General features: G+C 38.1%; 2 annotated features.

Moving 5' to 3' along the window:
• Window positions 15,264–15,764: an enhancer, noted in NCBI's record as "H3K4me1 hESC enhancer chr9:103381338-103381838 (GRCh37/hg19 assembly coordinates)". NCBI's record gives its function as "activates a minimal SCP1, AML or CMV promoter by ChIP-STARR-seq in primed H9 embryonic stem cells {active_cell/tissue: H9 hESC(primed)}" and the evidence as "EXISTENCE:reporter gene assay evidence [ECO:0000049][PMID:30033119]".
• Window positions 15,765–16,265: an enhancer, noted in NCBI's record as "H3K4me1 hESC enhancer chr9:103381839-103382339 (GRCh37/hg19 assembly coordinates)". NCBI's record gives its function as "activates a minimal SCP1, AML or CMV promoter by ChIP-STARR-seq in naive H9 embryonic stem cells {active_cell/tissue: H9 hESC(naive)}" and the evidence as "EXISTENCE:reporter gene assay evidence [ECO:0000049][PMID:30033119]".

The raw sequence follows: 23,502 nt of genomic DNA on the forward strand, positions 1-23,502 counted from the left end.
GAGTCTAGGTCTGTTTAGTAGATGTTACCAATTTGTTCCCTTAACCATAAGCATCTGGAGGCTAGGAATACCTAAGTTCCTGGGAATGCAGCCCAGCGAGTCCCAGCCTCATTTTACCCAGCCCCTATTCAAGATGGAGTTGCTCTGGTTCAAATGCCTCTAACATTACGACAGAGACCATATGTTCTGCAAAGCCAAAAATAATATCTGACCCTATAAAGACAAAGTTTGTGAACTTCTGGTCTAGATGGATATAAACTTTTTAGAAGCCTTAATATCTGGTTAGCATTTAACTGACTTTTCATGAAAAATAGTGATTTGACCCTTTTGGGGAAAGACTTGATTTCCTTCTGGGAAGCAAACGTTCTGGGTAGAATGATATAGATTCTTAAGGTTTCTTAGAAATGGAAATATAAATCAGAATTATATTTATAAATTCATTTCAGGAATTAAATATTCAAGTGTGCTATATCTTTTTCTCTTTTAAGTGGGAAAAAATGGGCCTATATGATGTGAATTCCTTATAGTTTCTTAGCATACTTTCCCACAGCGGGACTAGTAAGTCACTGTTATACTAATTACAGTATTCCCACCTTATCTGTAGTTTTGCCTTCTGCAGTTTCAGTTACCTGTGGTCAACCACAGTACAAAAATATTAAATGGAAAATTCCAGAAACAAACAATTCATAAGTTTTAAGTTGAGCACTGTGCTAGTAGCATGATGAAATCTCACGCTGTCCTGCTTCCTTACTTCATTTCATCATGTAGGCATTTTATCATTTCACATCAACACAAGAAGGGTGAGTATAGTACAGTAAGATATTTAGAGAGAGGGCATATCCACATAACTTTTATTACAGTATGTACACACACACACACACACACACACACACACACACACACACACATATATATTTATTTTGAGACAGAATCTTGCTTTGTTACCCAAGCTGGAGTGTAGTGGCACAATCTTGGCTTACCGCAACCTCCACCTCCTGGGTTCAAGCGATTTCTTGTGCCTCAGCCTCTGAGTTGCTAGAATTACAGGTGTGCACCATCACGCCTGGCTAATTTTTGTATTTTTAGTACAGATGGGGTTTTGCCATGTTGGCCATGCTGGTCTCGAACTCCTTGCCTCAAGTAATCCATCCTCAAGTAATCTTGGCCTCCCAAAATGCTGGATTACAGGCATGAGCCACCGTGCCTGGCCTATTACAGTATATTGTTATAATTGTTCTACTATATTATTGTTTTTAATCTCTTACAGTGCATAATTTGTGAATTAAACTCTATTGTATGTATAGGAAAAAAGATAGGATATATAGGGTTCAGTACTATTCATGATTTCTGGCATCCACAGGGGATCTTGGAATGCATCCCTTGCAGATAAGGGGGGGACTACAGTACTTCATTTGTCAAGATACTGATCAAAGGCCCTGTACTTCTATAGCTATTTACCTTTCATTCAAAAAGTATTCTTGGCATGGATGGTGTGCTTATTTATGAATTTGTAAGTACTCAGACATTGCTGAGTCGGAATAAGGTTAATTCATTTTGCAAATTTTACATAATCCACTTTAAATCCACTTTATTCAGAACCTCTTCCTGCCAAACATTTTGAGGAGGTAATGGATATTCCTTACCATTTCTTAGTGTTCTTATAAAAACAGGCAAATCAGAATCAAGCCAATTATCTTTGAGCATACACAGATAAGAGATTAGCTGGACCCTGTTAGGTCCCCTTAGTTTAGGCAGATGATTGCTATGGCTCAACAAGAGGGTCTGTTCCCCGGCAAGGTCTGCAGAAAGAAGCTGCCAGAAGGAGAATTCTGTGCTCATGAATATTTGTGAGAACAAAGCAGGCAGGCTGTCTATCCTCCCCTTAATGGTGCCTTTTTTGTAGAAAGTTTTTCAGGCATATAGGGGAATCTCTTTTTTATAGTCCAAAGTAATTATGCAATCAGATTTCCTATCTACCAAAGGATTGGGCATGGAAGGGTTTTAGAGACATATATTGTAGTTAAATGTATTTTAAAAATATTATATGTTATTTCAGAACCTTTTTTCCTTTGTTTGTAATGTATGGCTATAATTATTTACATGATACATATTTATGGGATTTTAGTGTTTAACTCCAGTTCTTGGTTGTTGCAGGGTTCTTAATGTTGATTTATGCTTCAGCATGCTGATTTCTTCAAGCACTTTAAACAATGAAGGTATTTGTGTTATATATTTCACACATTTTCTGCACACTTGCCTTTATGAGAGTATCTTTGCTTTTGTACATATAAAAAAGTGGGTGTAACATTTTGATTCACAACCATTCCTTGAAAAAGAAACCACTATAATAATAGTGTTGAAGGGCAATTAAAAATATATAAAATCATGACTTTCATACAGATATAAAATGAACATGTATAAAGAGTTTATTTAACTTATTAATTAATGAAGGAGGCAGTTAAAATGTTACAGTTGGTTCAAAGGGAAATTAAAAGAACCACACATTATATAGGAAAATAAAGAATACTGGAATGAATTTACAAATAGATGTAAAACAGATCTATCTATGAGGGAAAAATCAATGATGTTCTAGAGAAAATTAATTTACATTTTTATGGACAGAAATAATTTACATTGTTTTCTATTTTCTACAACTTACAGAGTTGTAAAATAGCTCAAAGATGATGAAAGGTTAATATAACCTGGAAGGGTGTGCTAGACAGACACTTAGTAATTTCTCTGGCTCATTTCAATGTCTTTAATAACCTTTTTCCTACAATAATAACATTAGTGTTTAGTATATCTGGTATAATTATAAACATATTATATATCTTAATAAACCTTCACCAAATTATCTTTATTGTAGAGATGAGAAAATGAAGACATTGAGATTTTAATTTGCTCACAGTAAAATGAAGGAGCTAGAATTTGAAAATACGTATGCTATCATATATATATAAAATCATACATATATATAAAATTATACAGATGTATAAAAGCATACATATATGTAAAATATATATGCAAAAAATTATTAAGACAAAAGAATGTAGTCTTTATCAGTGGTTTATGGGATATCCATGATTTGTGTTTAAAAAAAAAGGAAGATGTAGAGTAATGTGTGTAGAATTATTTTATTTCTATAAAAACAAACTTACATGGGGCAACAGGAACTCTCATTCATAGCTGGTGGAAATGCAAAATGGTACAGCCACTTTGGAAGACAGCTGGGATACTGTTATCATACATGACAGCAGTTGCATTCCTTGGTATTTCCAAATGAGTTGAAAACCTAGGTTCACACAAAACCAGCAGATGGTTGTATATAGCTCTCATCCTTATCCATATTTGTCAAAACTTGGAAGTAATCAAGATGTCCTTCCTAGGTGAACTGACAAACTGTGATACATCCAGACAATGGAATATTATTCCATTGTTTATTCCATTGTTTTTAGACAGTAGAGTCCTCCTAATCGTACAAGGAAGTAAGTTACCAAACTATGAAAAGACATGGAAGAATCTTGAAGGCTTATTAAAGAAGCCAATCTGAAAAGGCTACATACTGTATAATTCCAACTGTAGGACATTTTGGAAAGGAAAACTATAAAGACAGTAAAAAGATCAGTGATTGCCAGCATTTAGGAGGCAGGGGGGATGAAGAAGCAGAGCACAGAGGATTTTTAGGGTCAAGAAATGATTCTGTACCATACTATAACTGTGGATATGATATTATGTATGTCAAAACCCATAGAATGTATAATACCAAGAGTGAGCCCTAATATAAACTATGGACATTGGGTGATAATGATGTGTCCATGTAGGTTCATTGATGATAACAAATGGACCGCTCTGGTGCTGGATGCTGATAGTGGGGGAAGTGATGTTGGGGTGGGAGGAAGAGAGCATATGAGCACTCTGTGTACTTTCTACTCAATTTCTCTGTGTACCTAAAACTATTCTAGAAAATAAAGTATATTGAAGAAAACCAAGCAACCAACCACCCAAGCACACTGACCAAATAGCTAACCAGCAAACAAGCCAAACCCCTATGTATGTATTTACATGCTTGTGTATGTTTTTGTGACTGGGAGGAAGATGTGGAAGAATATTCCACTGGTTTTTATTAAGGATCAGAGGATGGGGGCAGGCTACTTGATTTGGATGATTGTTTTCTTTGTATACCTTTTGTTTTAGTTATTGAACAAGCAGGCATTTTTACCATGTGAAAGTTATTAAAGAAAAAGATTAAAACAAGTACAACTCTGTGGTTTTCCTTAGCAAGCTGTATGTATTACAAAATTTTCTTAAGATCTACTTTTAGTACTTAGCTTTGCTAAATTTTTGTTGTTACTCCATAAATGTGACTACAAACTATTTTTGGATAGAGTTTTTGTGATAAGGTGACAGTTTCTATAATTTCTATATTTACAGTTTTTTCTAAGGGAAGATGGACAATCATGACAAGGTGATCAATTTAATCTCCTTGAGGATATTTTTCTAGTTTTCCATTCTAACTGGATTTTGACATGGTGATCATTGTTGATCTTAGTTACAGCTGTTATAGGGAACTGGTAAGAGTAGAATCCAGATTGGAAAGAGTGGATGGTGATGAATAGATTGTTAAGGTATGTAACTCTCTGGAGATGTTTAACTGTGAAGGATGGAAAAGAGGAGAGGGTAGATGGGGCATGAATGGAGATTATATATATATTCCATTGGTTTTTATTAAGGATCAGAGGATGGGGGTGGGTTACTTGATTTGGATGCTTGTTTGATTGGATGTTACATGTATGTTCTACTTGATTGGATGTTACATATATATATATATATGATGAAAGATATATTAGGGTTCTCCTAGATATATAGATACAGAGAAAAAGATTTATTATGAGGTTTTGGCTCTTGTGATTATGAAGGCTGAGAAATCCCAGTATCTGTCACTGGCAAGCTGGAGGCCCAAGAAAGCTGCCGGTGTAAGTTCCAGTCCAAGCCCAAAGCCCTGAGAACCAGGTGAGCCAATGATATAAAGCCCAGTATGAGTTTGAAGGTCTGATAACCAGGGGGCTGATGGTACAAGTCTTGGTCTGAGTTCTAAGGCCTGAGAATCAGGTGCTGATGTCTGAAGACATTAGAATCAGGAGCGCCGATGTCTGAGGACTGGAGAAAATGGATGTCTCAGCTCAAGCAGTGAGGGAGCAAATTCACCTGCCTTTTTATTCTCTTCATGCTCTCTAATGCCACCAAAATTAGGGAGAGTGATCTTCTTTACCAGTTCAAATGCCAGTCTCTTTGAAAACACCCTCACAGAAACATCCAGAAGTAATATTTAACCAGCTATCTGGGCATCCCTTAGCTCAGTCAAGTTGACACATGCAATTAACTATCACTTTAAAGAAAGCCTTGGATCTGCTCAAATGCTGACCTGAAGGAGTCAGTAGAACAGAGAGAGTTGGGAAGTGAGGTTGGAGTGAGGGTGAGCTGTTATTTACTAGCTAGAAGACCCTGAGATGATGGGGGAATGGGATCCAGAACGTAGGTGAGAGGGATAGTTTTTAGACAGAAGAGTACTCCTAATCATAACAGGAGGGAAGGAGGAAAGGAAAGTTGATGGAGTTTTCATTTGATAGTGTTTTTTCTCTGTGGTAAGTAAGAGGTGAGATTATCTGCTGGGAGTGAGGAGGTTAAAGGGGAGATTAGATATTTGAAGAAAGTAGAAAAACGTTTAAGGTTTAAGTAGTTGTATCGTCAGGGTTCTTCAGAGAGTCAGAACCCATAGGATATATATTTATATATTCATATCTATATCAATATAAATATACAGTTATCCTTTGATATCTGCAGGGAATTAGTTTCAGGACTCCCCCACTCCATGGCTACTGAAATCCATGGATGCTCAAGTCCTGCACTTGGCCTTGCTGAACCTATAGATACAAAAAGTCAACCCTCTCTATCCATGGGTTCTGCATCCTGCAAATACTATATTTTCAATCTGAATACTATATTTTTGGTCTGCATTTGGTTGAATCCACAGATTCATAACTGGTGCATACTGAGGCTGGCTGTATAGATATATAGATATCTGATAGGAGATTTATTAGGGGAATTGGCTCACATGATTATGGAGGCTGGAAAGTCCCACAGTAGGCTGCCTGCAAGCTGGAACCCAGGAATGGAAAGGTAGCATGGCTCAGTCCAAGTCTGAAAGCCTCAGAACCAAGGAAGCCAATGGTAGTATGACTTGGTATGAAGCTGAAGGCCTGAGAATATGGTGGCGGTGGTGTTGGTGGTAGGAGGAATGCTGGTGCAGGTCCTGGAGGCCCAAGGCCAGAGGACCTGGAGTTCTGATGTCCAAAGGCAGGAGAAAAAGAATGTCCCGGAGAAAAAGTGAATCTGCCTTTCCTCTGTCTTTTTGTTGTATCTGGGCCCTCAGTCGATTGGATGGTGCCTACTCACATTGAGGGTGGATCTAACCCCACTCAGTTCACAGATGCATATGCCAGTCTCCTCTGGAAACACCTTCACAGACACACCCAGAAATAATGCTTTACCAGCTTTTGAGGTATAGTTGACGCGTAAAATTAGCCATCACAGTAGTGATAGTGCAGAGCAAGCTGACTAGAGAAGCCTTTGGGGATTTTTCTCAAATATGGTCAGAAGCTCAGGTATGTGCATGGGGCAGGTGGGTGATTGGACATATCCAGCACTAGAGTTTAGCCAGGGAAATGTGAGAAATTGAAAGAAATATGGAAATGATAGCTCTTGGCATGTGAATTGCACAGGGTGAGCAGGAAGCCAGGATGGGCTGATGGCTGGGAAAAAGTGGATGGGCCAATGGACTGGAAGTTCTGATGAGGTCAGAAGATTAGGAAGCTATGGTCTAACTCAGTGACTGTTGCTTCAGGAGATGACTATGGTGTGACCATAGGAGTGATGGAGGATAGAGGGGCTCTGAATAAAGTAATTCATAAGGGCTATTCTGTTTCAACAGTACTGCATACACTTTCCATAGTTTATTTATAACTTAAAAAACCCCTATATGCTTCCCTACATATTGTTAAACATGTAACATTTAAAATTTGCATAGTTCAGAAACATCCTCACAGGGAATGACACTAAAGAAATAAAAATGTTATCTTTATCCAGTGGTCATGCTCAGTTCTCCATGGCAATATGAACAATGGGAAAATAGTATGAAGATGAAATTGACTTCCCTGACATTTGAAACCTAAGAAAGTCTTATTGGAAAGAGAGGAAATGAGCGGACATTGATCCTTAGTGGTCCCACTAGGAGCTTTGCAGCTCTCTGCGTGACGTTTCTTAATCTTTTATTTCCCACAGCAAATCTGCCCTTCTAACATGTGGTTATCTACCTGGATCAGTGCTGGTTCAAAGTAAAACAGAGATGTAGCAAGTATTTTGGATGGCTTTTATTTCCCTTTCTGAGGTCCTTCCCTTCCTGCAAAGTCCCATTGCAAGGGAGCATATATACTAGGGTGGAAACATTTTTGGCCATTTTTGCAATTCACCCCACTGTGTTAATCCCATCTCTCTGTTGTAGTGTCAAGAGGTCTCTGACCACACAGGAGCATATTCCTGGGGCTCTTCCATGTTCATAGTCACATTTTCTGTCTCATAGTACTTTCCTATTCTTAGGGAACATCCTTTCAAGAGCATAAATCAAAAATGCTTCCAGAAAGGACTTTTACTTTCATTTAATTGAGGCAAAATCTCACATTAATATTTTGAGAATTTATAACAAGGAAAGGCCTCATTTAAAACATATATTTATGGATTTAAAAATAAAGATGTAAATAATATGTTTAACTCATAAAACCTAAAAAATGGACAAACATAAAGAAAAAAATATTCACCCACAAACATATTACTGAGTGTCTATCTGGTTGTTATTCCTAAGGGTGTGTGTGTGTTTGGGGTAAAGAATAGTATGGAATACAGGTCAAAAGCAGGAATTTGAAGTCAGAATACTTGGGTTAGAATTTGCCAAAGTAGGCAAGCTACAGAATCTCTTTGTTCCTCAGTTTCTGTACTTGTCAAATAGAATAGTATCTACTCACAGAGGAATAAATGAATATATGTGAAGAGTTTAGAACAGCGCATGACTCAAGATGAGTGCTTTGTACGTGTTAGCTTTTATCTGTTTGTGTATATCTAATTTCTTGGCTCCTGGTTTGTCCAGCCCCAGGGCATGCCTTCCCCTTTCAAGCCTGCTTTTTGAGTCTGTGCACTCAGTTTGCTGAACACTGTAAGTGCATCATTGACCACGTTCACCTCCCCAGTCATATCTGGGACTTTAAAGGAATTGTAACAACTTCCACAAATCCATCTTATCACCTTTGTCTCCACCTTCAGCATGGCAGGACTCCTGGCTGGTGCTCAATGTTCTACCAGCAACTGCTGTGTCCTGTGCTATTGGCCACCTCCTGGGGTTCCTAGACCACTGTCTCCCTAAAAATGAGGCTGCACCAATATCTTCTCTGTATTAGTCTGTTTTCACACTGCTGATAAAGACATACCTGAGATTAGGTAATTTATAAAGAAAAAGAGGTTTAGTGGACTCACAGTTCCACATGGCTGGGGAGGCCTCACAATCATGACAGAAGGTGAAAGGCATGTCTTACATGGCGGCAGGCAAGAGAGAGAAAGAGCCAAATGTAAGGGGAAACTCCTTATAAAAACATCAGATCTTGTGAGACTTATTCACTCCTGCAAGAACGGTATGGGGGAAACCACCCTCATGATTCAATTATCTCCCACCAAGTTCCTCCTACAACACCTGGGAATTATGAGAGCTATATTCAAGATGAGATTTGGGTGGGGACACAGCAAAACCAGATCACCCTCCCAACCATGAACACAATTCACTGTCTTAATTTCCCAAATCCCAGTCACAACAAAGCTTAGCATTTCATAAAGATGCATTGAAGAAGTGGAGATAGCAAAACATAAAAGTATTTTTCCTGTCACTCTTCAGCCCACTGCAATTTGGCTTCTGCCTCCTTTTGCCTCAGTTTTTAAGCACATATAAAACTAAAGAACAAGTACAGCCATGTATTGCATAATTGCATAATGATGTTTTGGTCAATGATGAACTGTATATTTAACGGTGGTCGTATAACAGTATAATTCTGTATTCCTTTTTTTTTTTTTTTTTATGGAGACGGAGTCTCGCTCTGTCACTCAGGCTGGAGTGCGATGGCGTAATCTTGACTCACTGCAACATCTGCTTCCTGGGTTCAAACAATTCTCCTACCTCAGCTTCCTGAGTAGCTGGGACTACAGGCGCATGCCACCATGCCCAGTTAATTTTTTTTGTATTTTAGTAGAGATGGGGTTTCACCATGTTGCCCAGGCTGGTCTTGAACCTGAGCTCAGGTCATCTGACCACCTTGGCCTTCCAAAGTGCTAGGATTACAGGCATGAACCACTGCACCTGGCCTAATTCTGTATTCTTACTATACTTTTCTATTTAGATATTTTTAGCTATACAAATACCATCATGTTATAATTGCCACAGTATTCTGTACAGTAATATGCTGTACAGGTTTGTAGCCTAGGAGCAATAGACTATACCATATAGCGTAGGTGTACAGTAGGCTATACATCTAGATTTGTGTTAAGTTCACTTTATGATATTCACATGACCACAAAATCACCCAACAATGAATTTCTTAGAATGCATCCCAGTTGTTAAGTGACATATGACTGTATAATGAATCACTATGTCCTACTACTCATCCTCAATAATTACTAGCGTTTTGCCAATCACCTTTTATTTATCTTATCCCTTTTCTGGAGTATTAGGAAGCAAATCCTAGATATCATGTTAGTTTACACATGATGCTTGAATCTGCATCTCTATTTAAAACTTTTAAATAATTTTTTTCTCTTGTTTTCATAGAGACAGGGTCTCACTCTATCATGCAGGCTGGAGTACAGTGGCATGATCATGGTTCTCTGCAGTCTTGACCTCCTGGGCTCAAGTGATCCTCCTGCCTCAGCCTCCCAAGTAGCTAGAACTACAGGCACACAACCACACCCAGCTAATTATTTTATTTTTTTTGCTGTGTTTCCCAAGCTGGTCTTGAACTCCTGGCTTCAAGTGATCCTCTTTCCTTGACCTCCCAAAGTGCTGGGATTACAGGTGTGAGCCACCATACTTGGCCTTAAATATATTTTTACATACTACCATGGCATTATAACACCCAACAAAATGTCTCAAGATCGTACAATTCCACCAGTCCATATTCAAATTTCCCTGCTTGTCTTAAGAAGGTCTGTTTACAATTCAGGATCCAAACAAGGCCAAATCAGGATCCAAACAAGGTCACGTGGAAAGGAGTGTTCTTCTCTTTTTCCTTCTTCTCCTGTTCAATGCTCCTTTCCCTGTCTTTTCTCACTTCCTCCTCTGAAATACAACTTTTACCATTTATTAATATGTCTGATACAGGAAAAAAGGGGAGCATCCACAGCAAAAGCTAGATGTCTTAAATCGTGAGTTATATAGATTACCTTTAATTCATGGTTATAACTAAAAATTCCCTGCCACCTCTATCCTTTCCAGAAATTGCTTTAGGATTCACAGATGAGGGAAATCATTGTATTCATAAGAATACTTATACATTCAAAAAGTGGTTTGCTTTCATAAAGCAGATTTTGTGAAAATGGGGGAATAATGACATTTGAAGGGAGACTCAAATATAACTTTTGAAAACAAGGGAAACCACAGTAAAGAAGGTTAAGTATGCATTTGAAAGTAAATTCAGATATATATTTATAAAAAGAAGTCATCACGGTATTCCCACGGTTTATAATTTTTAGAACAAGGGCTATAAAACTCTTGATTATGGCCATGCTGATTTTTCTCATCATTCTTCCCTCTGTGTAAGGTCAGCTCTGCTCTGTACATTTATGTTTATGTATTTGTTAGGCTATATTTTTACTTAAGAGACACTGGAGGGAGGTTGTGATAGTTTAGCTGTTCTCCGCACGTTGATTCTGACCACCTCCTCTGCCTTCCAGTAATGCCGTAGCTACAGTGATTGTATAAGGTAAATAATCTAATCAACACTTATTAGTGGTTTCTCATTGTGCTTGGAATAAAACCAAAATTTCTTAGCTTGGCTTATAAAGCTTGGATTATAAGCTTTACCCTCTGCTGTCTCTCCAGCTTTAGTTTGGATTATTTTTCTTTCCTTTTGCTTTGGGCCTGATGGTCTTCTCTCAGTTTCTACGGAATGTCATGCTCCTTTCACTCAATCTTCTCATTGGATTATCCAGCCCACCTCCCACCTTCCATCTAAGCAGGGTGACTTCTTAGAGAACCATGTTCTTCTCTTTCCAAGCATTTATCAAGCTTGCAATAATTAATTCACCAATGGGATTATTTGGTTAAGTCTCTGCTCTCCACTCAGGTGTTGCATTATATAATATATGGAAATGGTGGCCCTGCTGGCTAGACCACAATCTTTCAGAAAGTCAGGACAGTGTATATATTTGCTAAAATGGTGAAGCAGAGGTATCCAATCTTTTGGCTTCCCCAGGCCACATTGGAGGAAGAAGAATTGTCTTGGGCCACAATAAAATACGTGAACACTAACAATAGCTGATGAGCTAAAAAAAATTGCAAAAAAACTCATAATGTTTTTTTTTTAACTTTTTTTTATTACACTTTAAGTTCTGGGGTACATGTGCAGAACATGCAGGTTTGCTACATCGGTATACACGTGCCATGGTGGTTTGCTGCACCCATCAACCCATCATGTACATTAGGTATTTCTCCTAATGCTATCCCTCCCCTAGACCCCCAGCCCTGTGACAGGCCCCCGTGTGTGATGTTCTCCTCCCTGTGTCAATGTGTTCTCACTGTTCAACTCCCACTTATGAGTGAGAACATGTGGTGTTTGTTTTTCTGTTCTTGTGTTTGTTTGCTGAGAATGATGGTTTCCAGCATCATCCATGTCTCTGCAAAGGACATGAACTCATCGATTTTTATGGCTGCATAGTATTCTATCGTGTATATGTGCCACATTTTCTTTATCCAGTCTATCATTGATGGGCATTTGGGTTGGTTTCAAGTCTTTGCTATTGGGAACAGTGCTGCAATAAACATACATGTGCATGTGTCTTTATAGTAGAATGATTTATAATCCTTTGAGTATATACCCAGTAATGGGATCCCTGGGTCAAATGGTATTTCTAGTTCTAGATCCTTGAGGAATCATCACACTGTCTTCTACAATGGTTGAACTAATTTACAGTCCCACCAACAGTGTAAAAGTGTTCCTATTTCTCCACATCCTCTCCAGCATCTGTTGTTTCCTGACTTTTTAATGATCACCTTTCTAACTGGCATGAGATGGTATCTCATTGTGGTTTTGATTTGCATTTCTCTAATGACCAGTGATGATGAACTTTTTTTCATATGTTTGTTGGCTGCATAAATGTCTTCTTTTGAGAAGTATCTGTCCATATCCTTTACCCACTTTTTGATGGAGTTGTTTGTTTTTTTCTTGTAAATTTTTTTAAGTTCTTTGTAGATTCTGAATGTTAGTCCTTTGTCAGATGGATGGATTGCAAAAATTTTCTCCCATTGTGTAGGTTGCTTGTTCACTCTGATGATAGTTTCTTTTGCTGTGCAGAAGCTCTTTAGTTTAATTAGATCCCATTTATCAATTTTGGCTTTTGTCGCCATTGCTTTTGGTGTTTTAGTCATGAAGTCTTTGCCCATGCCTATGTCCTGAATAGTATTGCCTAGGTTTTCTTCTAGGGTTTTTATGGTTTTAGATCTTACATTTAAGTCTTTAATCCATCTTGAGTTACTTTTTTTATAAGGTGTAAGGAAGGGATCCAGTTTCAGCTTTCTGCATATGGCTAGCCAGTTTTCTATTAAATAGGGAATCTTTTCCCTATTGCTTGTTTTTGTCAGCGTTGTCAAAGATCAGATGGTTGTAGATGTGTGGCATTATTTCTGAGGCCTCTGTTCTGTTCCATTGGTCTATAGATTTGTTTTGGTAGCAGTACCATGCTGTTTTGGTTACTGTAGCTTTGTAGTATAGTTTGAAGTCAGGTTGCGTGATGCCTCCAGCTTTGTTCTTTTTGCTTAGGATTGTCTTGGCTATGTGGGCTCTTTTTTGGTTCCATGTGGGATTTAAAGCAGTTTCTTCCCAATTCTGTGAAGAAAGTCAATGGTAGCTTGATGGGGATAGCATTGAATATATAAATTACTTTGGGCAATATGGCCATTTTCACAGTATAAATTCTTCCTTTCCATGAGCATGGAATGTTGGGGTGGAGAGTTCTGTAGATGTCTATTAGGTCTGCTTGGTCCAGAGCTGAATTCAAGTCCTGGATATTCTTGTTAATTTTCTTTCTCATTGATCTAATATTGACAGTGGGGTGTTAAAGTCTCACACTATTATTGTGTGGTTGTCTAAGTCTCTTTGTGTGTCTCTAAGAACTCGCTTTATGAATCTGGGTGCTCTTGTATTGGGTGCATATATATTTAGGATAGTTAGCTCTTCTTGTTGCATTGATCCTTTTACCATTATGTAATGCCCTTCTTTGTCTCTTTTGATCTTTGTTGGTTTAAAGTCCATTTTATCAGAGACTAGGATTGCAACCCCTGCTTTTTTTTTGCTTTCCATTTGCTTGGTAAATATTCCTCCATCCCTTTATTTTGAGCCTATGTGTGTCTTTGCACATGAGATGGGTCTCCTGAATACAGCACACCAATGGGTCTTGATGCTTTATCCAATTTTCCAGTCTGGGGGCATTTTAATTGGGGCATTTAGACCGTTTACATTTAAGGTTAATATTGTTATGTGTGAATTTGATCCTGCCATTATGATGCTAGCTGGTTATTTTGCTCATTAGTTGAGACAGTTTCTTCATATTTTCAATGATCTTTACACTTTGGCATGTTTTTGCAGTGGCTGGTACCAGATGTTCCTTTCCATGTTTAGTACTTCCTTTAGGAGCTCTTGTAAAGCAGGTCTGGTGGCTGGTGGTGACAAAATCTCTCAGCATTTCCTTGTCTGTAAAGGATTTTATTTCTCCTTTGCTTATGAAGCTTAGTTTGGCTGGATATAAAATTCTGGGTTGAAAATTACTTTTTTTAAGAATGTTGACTATTGTCCCCCGCTCTTTTCTGGCTTGTAGGGTTTCTGCCAAGAGATCTGCTGTTAGTCTGATGGGCTTCCCTTTGTGGGTAGCCTGACCTTTCTCTGGCTGCCTTTAACATTTTTTCCTGCATTTCAACCTTGGTGAATATGACTATTATGTGTCTTGGGGTTGCTCTTCTTGAGAAGTATCTTTGTGGTGTTATCTGTATTTCCTGAATTTGAATGTTGGTCTGTCTTGCTAGGTTGGTGAAGTTCTCCTGGATAATATCCTGAAGAGTGTTTTCCAGCTTGGTTCTGTTCCCTGTGTCACTTGTAGGTACACCAATCAAATGTAGATTTGGGTTTTTCACATAGTCCCACATTTCTTGGAGGCTTTGTTAATTTATTTTCACTCTTTTTTTCTCTAATCTTGTCTTCTCACTTTATTTCATTGAGTTGATCTTCAGTCTCTGATATCCTTTCTTCTGCTTGATCGATTCAGCTATTGATACCTGTGTATGCTTCATGAAGTTCTCGTGCTGTGTTTTTCAGCTCCATCAGGTCATTTATGTTCTTCTTTAAAACGGCAGTTAGCAATTTGTCTAACCTTTTTTCAAGGTTTTTAGCTTCCTTGCATTGGGTTAGAACGTGCTCCTTTAGCTTGGAGGAGTTTGTTATTACCTACCTTCTGAAGCCTACTGTCAATTTTCAAATTCATTCTCTGTCCAGTTTTGTTCTCTTGCTGGCGAGGAGTTGTGTTCCTTTGGAGGAGAAGAGGCGTTCTAATTTTCGGATTTTTCAGTCTTTTTGCACTGGTTTTTCCCCATCTTTGTGGATTTATCTACCTTTGGTCTTTGAAGTCGGTGACCTTCAGAAGTGATCTCTGAGTGGACATCCTTTTTGTTGATGTTGCTACTACTCCTTTCTGTTTGTTAGTTTTCCTTCTAACAGGCCCCTCTGCTGTAGGTCTGCTGGAGTTTACTGGAGGTCCGCTCCAGACCCTATTTGCCTGGGTATCACCGGCAGAGGCTGCAGAACAGCAAAGATTGCTGCCTGTTCCTTCCTCTGGAAGCTTCATCCCAGAGGGGCACCTGCAGATGTCAGCCAGAGCTCTCCTGTATGAGGTGTCTGTCGGCCCCTACTGGGAGGTATCTTCCAGTCAGGATACACAGGGGTCAGGGACCCACTTGAGAGGGCAGATTATCCCTTATTAGAGTTCGAAAGCTGTGCTGGGAGATCTGCTGCTCTCTTCAGAGCCATCAGGCTGGGACGTTTAAGTCTGCTGAAGCTGGGCCCAAAGCTGCCCCTTCCCCCAGGTGCTCTGTCCCAGGGAGATGGGGGTTTTATCTATAAGTCCCTGACTGAGCTGGTGCCTTTTTTTTCAGAGATGCCTTTCCCAGAGAGGAGGGAGTCTAGAGAGGCAGTCTGGCTGCAGCTGCCTTGCTGAGCTGCAGTGGGCTCCGCCCAGTTTGAACTTCCTAGTGGCTTTCTTTACACCGTGAGGGTAAAACCCTACTCAAGCCTGGGCAGTGGCGGATGTCCCTCCCCCCACCAAGCTCAAGCATTCCAGGTCGAGCTCAGACCACTGTGCTGGCAGTGAGAATTTCAAGCCAGTGGATCTTGGCTTGCCGGGCTCTGTGGGAGTGGGACCCACTGAGTCAGACCACTTGGCTCCCTGGCTTCAGCCCCCTTTCCAGGGGAGTGAACGGCTCTGTCTCACTGGTGTTCCAGGTGCCACTGGGGTATGAAAAAAAACTCCTGCAGCTAGCTCGGTGTCTGCCCAAACGGCTGCCCAGTTTTGTGTTTGAAACCCAGGCCCCTGGTGGTCTAGGCATCGGAGGGAATCTCCTGGTCTGTGGGTTGCAAAGACCATGGGAAAAGCACAGTATCTGGGCCAAAGTGCACGGTACAGCCCCTAATGGCTTCCCTTGGCTAGAAGAGGGAGTTTCCCAACCCCTAGCACTTCCTGTGTGAGGCAATACCCCACCCTGGTTTGGGTTGCCTTCCTTGGGCTATACCCACTGTCCAACCGTTCCCAATGAGAAGAACTGAGTACCTCAGTTGGAAATGCAGAAATCACCTGCCTTCTGTGTTGATCTCACAGGGAGCTGCAGACCAGAGTTGTTTCTATTTGTCCATCTTGCCAGCAATCCAGCAAAAATCTCATAATGTTTTAAGGCAGTTTATGAATTTGTGTTGGACCACATTCAAAGCCGTCCTGGGCCACATGCAGCCCATGGGCTGTGGGTAGGACAAGCTTGGGTTAGACTGTTATACCCAGCACAGAGTAAGAACTCAATACGTATTTATTGATTGAAAAAATGAATGTCTTCCAGAGGTGGCTTTTATTCAGGCTAATTTCTCCAGCTTAAGAAATTGAAGTTCCTAAAGTTTTTTTGACTCATTTGTGTATATCATCCATTCTTATTATTCACAGTGGTAATAGTTTATAAAGTTGCTACAAACATGGAATTAGTGAATACTGAGCCATTGCTACTAGAAGAAATACAAGGTTAGGCTCCTGTGAACTTCTGGTCACAACATTTTTGTCAATTAGTCAATATAAAACCTTGTTTTATGTGTGTCCTGTATAAAGACGCTGTTTAATGTATTTTGATTTATTAACATTGAACTCATGGCCAATAGCACCATAGCTCAGGCCTGATGGAAGCTTATCTAACACACATTTTCTCTTGTAAGGCAAATCATAGCCTTCTCCTTCAGAGCACTAGATAGCACCTCAGTGTTATGCTTGGGCCATTTTAAACAGTGACATCACCAACAAAATGCAGAAAAATGTGGCACTAAATAAAGTGTGAAAAGGACAGGACATGGGTTTACAATATGAGAGCTGAAACAAGAAGGCGGAATATTGCCTCGTTTGACCTTTGACCTCAGCTCTGAACATGAGTATGGGGGTCTCAGATTTTTTGCTGCTCTGCATATGTCCAAGAATGATTGGGAAAGTGCCTTGAGTGTTATTTTGGGGTTACAAGTAAACTGTAGCAAATAGGCAATTTCACCAATATGGAATCCATGAATAATGAGGATTGACTGTATATGTATATATAATGATAAAATATATACTATATAAATATATTTTACGTATATTTATATTTTATATATAAGGTCTATATAAAATACATAATGACCTAATTGTTAATATCTTATACATAGTGTTCCGCTACTTGGCAATATATTGTATACAGGTCAATACTCTTTTACAAAATATATTCCAAAAAGTGTTTCTCAGGCCATTGTTAAGTCAGTTTGGGAAATACTGAGATCAAGGAATCCTCTACGCCTGTGGCATCTAAAAAAAAACCAGCGCCTCAGGTTCTTATAGTTATGCTTTAAAGGGGACAGGGTCACTCGTGCCAAAAAGGAAGCTAAAATCAATATCCCTCTTGCACTAGCATATTTTGCCTGTGTTTTGTTACTTTGCTTTTTCTAACTCTTGTAGCCCTTTTTACTGTATCTCATTGGATGAGGCACAATTGGATCCCTCTGACATCATTATATACCTACTCATGTGAGAGGGTATTAACTATTAATTTTGTAATTACAATTTTTCTCTTACATGGCACAGATTTTACATGTAGCTTTCTTCTGAAAAGGTGCAATGTAAAAGTTTTAGTGAAGATCTTGGCTCTGTCAGTGCCTCAGCATCAATTCATTCAATTTTGCATTCCTACAGGCCTGTTCTGGGCTTCCACTTCATTCTCGCTCTCTAGGCATTCAACAAGAGCTTAATTTGACAAGAAGCCACGGGTTATCCTCAGTTCAAATAATTTCAAAATCTCATATCAGATGGCTCTTTTGGAAATGTCAACAATTTCTAAAATGTCAACGCTACAATATAAACAATGCTACATACATTGTTAATAGGAGAAGTAATTTCTAATCCCAATAAAACAGACCCCAGGGAAGTTTGTTGTGATGCCGTGTTTTTCGCTTGAGATCAGTAAAGACCCAGCTGCAGCTGGTGCCTGTCCATGGCCTGGGATTGGAATTGTCTCATTTTCTAAGCCTAAGCATTATAGATTACATCTGGTATGTTGAAATATTTGATAAAATAAAAATGAACATTATTTGATAATACATACAGTATAATTTCAACTGCATATAACTTTTAAAAGTAAATATGTATAATTTTTGCCCTTTAGAACTTACATACTCTCCCTGTTCCCATATGTTTTCTTTAACTTTTGAATTGAAAAAACAAACAAACAGACAAAAACCCTACTCTAGTCCAAAATATCCTTTTAGTATGGTCTTTATGTGCTTTGTTTAATATTCTATAATAATCAAAACCCTATAGATGAGTTAGTGATTGTGTTGTCCTGATTTTTTTCTTATATACACATATTTATGTGCTAAATTCAGATATGATGAAAAAATATTGCAGATGCAAAAATTTAGAAAATAATGATAATGAGAAAACGCCCTACAAAAACCCTTAAACAGCTGGGCACAGTGGCTCATACCTGTAACCCCAGCACTTTGGGAAGCCAGGGACGAGGGTTGCTTGAGGCCAGGGGTTCAAGACCAGCCTGCATAACATAGCAAGACCCCCATCTCTACAAAAACAGACAAATAAATAAAGAACTTATAGCATGTGATCAAAACTGCAACCACAGATAAATCCAAGGCCTTCATACTTTATTTTTATTTTAATAGGTTTTTGGGGAACAGGTGGTGTTTGGTTATAGGAATAAGTTCTTTATTAGTGGTGATTTATGAGATTTTGGTGTACCCATCACCTGAGCAGCTACACTGTACCCAATGTGTAGTCTTTTATTCCTCACCCCCCAACCCTTTACCCTGAGTCCCCAGAGCCCATTATATTATTCTTACACCCTTGCATCCTCATAGCTTAGCTTCCACTTATGAGTGAAAACATGTTTGGTTTTCCATTCCTGAGTTACTTCACTTAAAATAGTGGTCTCCAGTTCCATCCAGACTGCTGCAAATGCCATTATTTCATTGCTTTTTATGGCTGAGTAGTATTCCATTATGTGTGTGTATGTGTGTATGTATATGTGTGTGTGTATATATAGATGTGTATATATATGCATGTGTGTGTGTGTGTGTGTGTGTATATATATATATATATATGTATATACACATACCCCACATTAAAAAAAAATTCACTCATTGATTGATGGACATTTGGGCTGGTTCCATATTTTTGCAATTGCAAAACTGTGCTGTTATAAACATGTATGTGCAAGTATCTTTTTTTGTATAATGACTTCCTTTCCTCTGGGTAGATACCTAGGAGTGAGATTGCTGGATCAAATGGAAGATCTACTTCTAGTTATTTAAGGAATCTCTGCATTGTTTCCCATAGTGGCTGTACCAGTTTACATTCTCACCGACAATATAAAAGTGTTCCCTTTTCACCACATCCATACCAACATCTGTTAATTTTGATTTTTTGATTATGGCCATTCTTGCAGGAGTAAGGTGTTATCACATTGTGGTCTTGATTTGCATTTCCCTGATCATTAGTGATGTTAAGCATTTTTTCATATGTTTGTTGGCCATTTATGTATCTTCTTTTGAGAATTGTTGATTCATGTCCTTAGCCCACTTTTTGATGGGATTGTTTGCTTTTTCTTGCTGATTTATTTGAGTTTGTTGTAGATTCTGGATATTAGTCCTTCATCAGATGTATAGTTTGCAAGCATGCCCAATCTCATCTGGACTTCGTATTTTTATTATTAAATAAGAATGAAAGTAAATGAACACCAGCATAAGTGATTTTAAAACAACCAACAGCCCTATGAAGAGCCCAGCACTTTGGGAGGCCAGGCAGGAGGGTTGCTTGAAGCCCTATAAAGAGCTCTTATAAATCAATATTCAAAGTTAAAAGTATCTTAGGAGAAAAATGGATGGGAGAAGAAGGCCCATGTGCAAACAATTTTTGGGTCCCCAGAAAGGGAAGACTGGCTAAAAAATCTTCAGATGGGATTTGCTTTGGGACTCCTTGACCACTGGGCCTTGTGATTTGCACCAGATTTACTTTCATCTCTTCTGGTAAAAGATATAAAAAGGCAATTTATGAAAGGACTGCTACAGATACCAGTAGATCTAATAAATGCCATACTTACTAAATAATAAATGAGTGAAAAAATAAATAAAATATGAATCTGCCACATTGTCCCAATAAATTGTCAAAAAAAGATAATATCTAGTTGGGTATGGGTGTAGGAAAATGAGCATTTTCATTCTGTTTGTGGAAGTATAAGCTGATTCAGCTTTTCTGAAGCAAAATTGGGCCCTATGTATTATGAATCTCTTTTGAGGCATCAGTTTTATTACTGGGATTTTATCCTGAAGAAATAAGGATATGTGTAAAGGTGTATAAATAAGGATTTTCTTGTAGCATTTATAAGAGGAGAAAATAGGCTACCATGAAGTCATTAAACGTACTCATAGCTATCCTTATCAAACATTTACTACATACAAGGCAATATACTAAGTATATGATGTGCTATCTCATTTATGAGGTTAGTATTTTAAAAATTGTGGCATAAAGAGGTTATGTAATTTATCAGATGTCACATAGTTAAGAATGAGCAAAACTTAAATGAAACCTCAATCTTACTACTATAATAAATGTCCTTTATCACTGAAGAACTACATTTAATGATATAAGGAAATGTTTATAACATATTGCTATTAAAAATTAGGCTACCTTTAATATCTATTAGATATAAGACTATTCAGATTTTCTGTCTTGCCCATACTTTTCCTAAGTTATGTTTTTCCAGGAATTAGTCCATTTCATTTATCATTTCAAATTTATTGGCATAAAGTTGTTAATAATATCCTCATTATATTTGAATGTTTCTAGGAGCCATAGTTGATGTTCTTTTTTTTCCCTGTTTTTTCTTTTTTCTTGGTCTTTATAGGTATTTGTTAATTTAATTTTATTTATTTATTTATTTATTTATTATTTATTTATTTGTTGAGATGGAGTCTTGCTCTGTTGCCCCGGCTGGAGTGCAGTGGTGCGATCTTGGGTCACTGCAACCTCTGCCTCCTGGGTTCAAGCAATTCTCTGCCTCAGCCTCCCAAGTGGCTGGGATTACAAGTGCCTGCCACCACGGCCAGCTAATTTTTTTGTATTTTTAGTAGAGACCGGGTTTCATCATCTTGGCCAGGTTGGTCTTCAACTCCTGACCTGGTGATCCACCCACCTCATCCTCCCAAAGTGCTGGGATTACAGGCTTGAGCCACCACGCCCGGCCTGTTAATTTTATTACTAGGGCTTTCAGAGAACCAACTTTTTGCTTTGTTCATCTTCTTATATGATTTTTTATTTAATTTCTAATGTTATCTTTAATATTTCCATGCTTCTACTTTGGGATTAATTTGACATCCTTTTCTCTTTCCAACTTCTTAAGATTAGGGTGCAGAGATCACTAATTTTTAGCCTTCCTAATTTTTCTAATATATACATTTAAGGCCATAAATGTCCTTCTAAATGTGGCTTCAGTTCTTCTTCTGCAAATATGGATATGTAGTTTTTTTAAAAAAAATTATTGCCACTTCAGATATCTCTTAGTTTCATCATCTTCTTTGACCCATGGGCTATCTAGAAGGGTATTGATTAATTTCTACACATACGAGGATTTTAAAGTTATCTTTTTATTTTATTTTATTTTATTTTTATTTTTGAGACAGGGGCTCACTCTGTTGCCCAGGCTGGAGTGCAGTGGCACAAACACAGCTCACTGCAGCCTCCACCTCCCGGGCTCAAGCGATCCTCCTGCCTCAGCCTCCCAAGTAGCTGGGACCACAGACACGTGTCACTATGCCTGGCTAATTTTTTAAATTTTTTGTAGTGACAAGGTTTCTTCATGCTTCCCAGGCTGCTTTCAGACTCCTGGGCTCAAGTGATCCTCCTGCCTTGGCCTCCAAAAATGTTGGGATTATAGGCATGAGCTACTGTGCCTTTTTGGTGTTATTAGCTTAATTTTATGTGGTTAATTAAGACATAATCTGTATTATTTAAATCTTTGGAAACTTGTTGAAACTTGATTTTTGGCTCAGATTTTGCACAATTTAGTAAATGTTCGGTGGTATTTGAAAAGAAGTATATTTGACACTAGTTGGGCACGCTGTTCTATATCTGTCCATTAGGTAGTTTGTTATTCTTGTTCAAATCTGTAGCCTTACTGATGTTTTATTTGCATTTTCTGTCAATTACTGAAAAGGATGTGTTAAAATCACCAATCATGGTATGGATTTCTGTATTTCTTTTATTTCTGCCAGAGTCTTTGCTTCATATATTTTTAGGTAACATTCTTAGATTCAAACAAATTTAGATATTACTATATTTTCCCTTTAAATTTTTTATCCCATTAAATGTCCCTCTTTTTTTCAGTAATGCTTCTTGCCTTAAAGTCTGCTTTGCCTTATATTACTGAGGATTCACCAGCTTTCTTTTGGTTAGTGTTTGCCTGGCATATGCAGTTTTTCTATCCTTTCACTCTCAACATCATTTACTTATGGTGTATCTTTTACATAATTGAGTTATTTATTTTTAATCCAGTCTGACAATGTTTTCTTTTAATTATACATTTGATTTATTCACATTCAATGTATTATTTATATATTTGAGTTTAAACCTACCATTTTAATACATACTTGTCATACTAGTCTATCCTCTTTTTTCTCCCTTTCTTGCCTTCTTTTTGGTTAATCAGTTTTTATTCCATTTCCTCTCTTCTTTTACCACTCTTTTAGGGATTAAACTTGATATATTAACATTCTTTTTTGATTTATACAAGTATTTTATGTATTGTTACTTTTTTTAGTTTTGGATAAAGCAGAGATGGTAGAGCAGCCCCTGCCTGCCTCATATATTATTAATGTCAAGGATTTTAATGATATATTTTATTTTTTAATTTTTATTTTAAGTTCAGGGGTACATCTACAGGTTTGTTATGTAGGTAAGTTGTATATCATAGGGGGTTGGTGTACAGATTATTTCATCATCCAGGTAATAATCATAGTACCTGATAGGTAGTTTTTCAATCCTCTCCCTCTTCCTACCCTGTACCCAGAAGCAGGCCTCGGTGTCTATTCTTCCCTTTTTTGTGTCCATATATATTTGATATGTGAGTACATGTAGTAATTGGTTTTCAGTTCCTGTGTTAGTTCACTTAGGATAATGGCCTCCAGCTCCATCTATGTTACTGGAAAGGACATGACCTCATTCTTTTTTATGGCTGCATAGTATTCCATGTGTGTATATGTACCACATTTTTTATATCCAGGCAACAGTTGATGGGCATTTAGGTTGATTCCATATAATGACATGTTTTAAACTCCATGTGACATTATTACTATTATTTTGTAGTTAACA

The sequence above is a fragment of the Homo sapiens genome, chromosome 9 (assembly GCF_000001405.40).
Source record: "Homo sapiens chromosome 9, GRCh38.p14 Primary Assembly".
Taxonomy (NCBI): domain Eukaryota; kingdom Metazoa; phylum Chordata; class Mammalia; order Primates; family Hominidae; genus Homo; species Homo sapiens.